Genomic DNA, 2,202 nt, shown 5'->3' on the forward strand with positions numbered 1-2,202 from the left:
ATAGAAAAACAATAATCTCCAGAAACTTCAACATATATTACCAATTAAATAATATTAACAGAATAGTATTATAATGAGATAGATGTAATTTAACCCAAAATTCAGAATTTATGTGATGGTGTTTGGGTACAGGGCCTTTGGGAAGTAACAAGGTTTAGATGATGTCATGAGGGCAGGGTTCTCATGATGGAATTAGTTCCCTTATAACATAGACACCAGAGAGCTTGCTCTCTTTCCCTGCAATGTGAGGACAGAGTGAGAGAACTTGACTGTCTGCAAGAGAATGCTCACCAGACAGCAAACATTCACAGATCCTGATCTTGGACTTTCCAGCCTCCAGATGTGTAAGAAAATACATTTCTGTTTAAACCACTCAGTCTGTGGTATTTTGTGATGGCAGTTCGAGCAGACTAAGACAAATAATGACACCATTCATGATTGTTCCCATCTACCAGTCACCAAAACAAGTTCTAACAAGATTAAAAAATAAATTCCCCCAAAAGGTAAACTAAAGCCTAAAAATTAGAATAAATTGTAAATAAAGATTAAAAATATAACTGGAGGCAATCAAAAATACATATATCCTAAGGAGATTGTTAAAGCTATATGAAAAATGTATGCTAAAAATCTCATTGGAGCACTATTCATAAATCTAAATAATTGAAAACAATAACTGGGCTATGGTTATGTTGATTATGGTAAATTCATATATATTAACATAATGTAATTTGTAAATGTTTATAAAGCATTCTTGTATATTAGCAAAACAATTTGAAGTGTCAAATTAAAAATCTTGAATACAAAATTACATGTAAGTTATAATTCCAAGTATGTTTGAAAAATTACATACTGAAATAATGGAAGTAAATGCAACAAACTATTCATAGTAGAATTTTATTTTACAGCAACTCAAAATAATGAAACAAATCCTCTGGCTTACAACTTCAACTAGGTATTGTGATTTTCTTACTATTCCATTTAGTAGGATATAGGTAGCATGGTTGTATTCTCAGTTTGTCAGTGTTCTCCTGGCGTCATTATTAACAGTGTCCCTATCACTTTCACAAGTTTCCTAGTTTGCAGAATAAATTATATGGTTATCTGAGATATGGGAAACCTAATTTTCTTCCTTCTTCCCCAGTAATAATCTATACAATTCTGGACAGCTCACCTATCCATAAAACAATTTGATCTGTACCTTAAAATAGATATATCTCTGCTAGTTAACTTCATAGAAATATTGTAAGGATGAGTGAGGAGATGCTTGGAAAATACTTTGAGCTCATCAGAGAAAAGTGCTATGATATTGCCACTAATAAATTTATTTACTAGCTTGCTGAGTAGAAAGTCAAGGGAAATCAAGATTTTGTGGGTATCAGCGACAAAATCAAATCAATCATCCATGTTCTGGCAGCCCATTTTATATAAGTTCCCCAGAGTACAGTAGCTAGTGAACATAGAACTTCTCCAAAAAAAAATATATATATATGAACATAGAACTTCTCCATATATATATACAAAATTAGAAAAATTAGAGACACATAGGCTAAATTTTGACTCTATATAGGCTATTCAGTTAGCAGTTATGAGTAAATGTATTGAACTTCTCTTTCTTGGTGAAAATATTGTGTTCCATCAAGCACTAACCATATGGAATGTTTGGAAGTTGAACAAAGACTGTTCATTAAGCTTGAAAGGGACAGATCTGAGCCAGCCAGCACTTTGTAACCTGGCAGTCAGGCCTCAAAATCAAGCCTATTATTTTAGTAGGCCAATTAAGTTTTTTAGAAACTCAGTGGAAAGGTGGCATCTTCACACATTTTCAGCACCTTATAAATTAGGTACTTTTGCCTGGTACTAAAATATCCTTCTTGAACTTAAAAATCAAAATCAATAAATCAATCTACTTCTCAGGCAACAAAGAAGCAGATGAAAGGCAACAATGAGGCAGATTAAACTTCTAGCAATGAATCCGAAATATACAGGAGCCTTAGTTTGATTAAGATGACAAAAAAACACCTGGAGGAAGGGCACTCAAGTCTGGCTCATGGTCTATTTGTTCTTCCTAAAATCTACATCCCTTGCATCAACTACAGTACTATAGTCGATGATTTGAAGTTGAAGCATAATATCTTATTCTTTCTGACATTGCAAGTATATAACAGATCACAAAGTTTTTTTTTTTCTTTTTTTCTGAGACGG

This window comes from Homo sapiens, chromosome 7 (genome assembly GCF_000001405.40).
Source record: "Homo sapiens chromosome 7, GRCh38.p14 Primary Assembly".
NCBI classification, from domain to species: domain Eukaryota; kingdom Metazoa; phylum Chordata; class Mammalia; order Primates; family Hominidae; genus Homo; species Homo sapiens.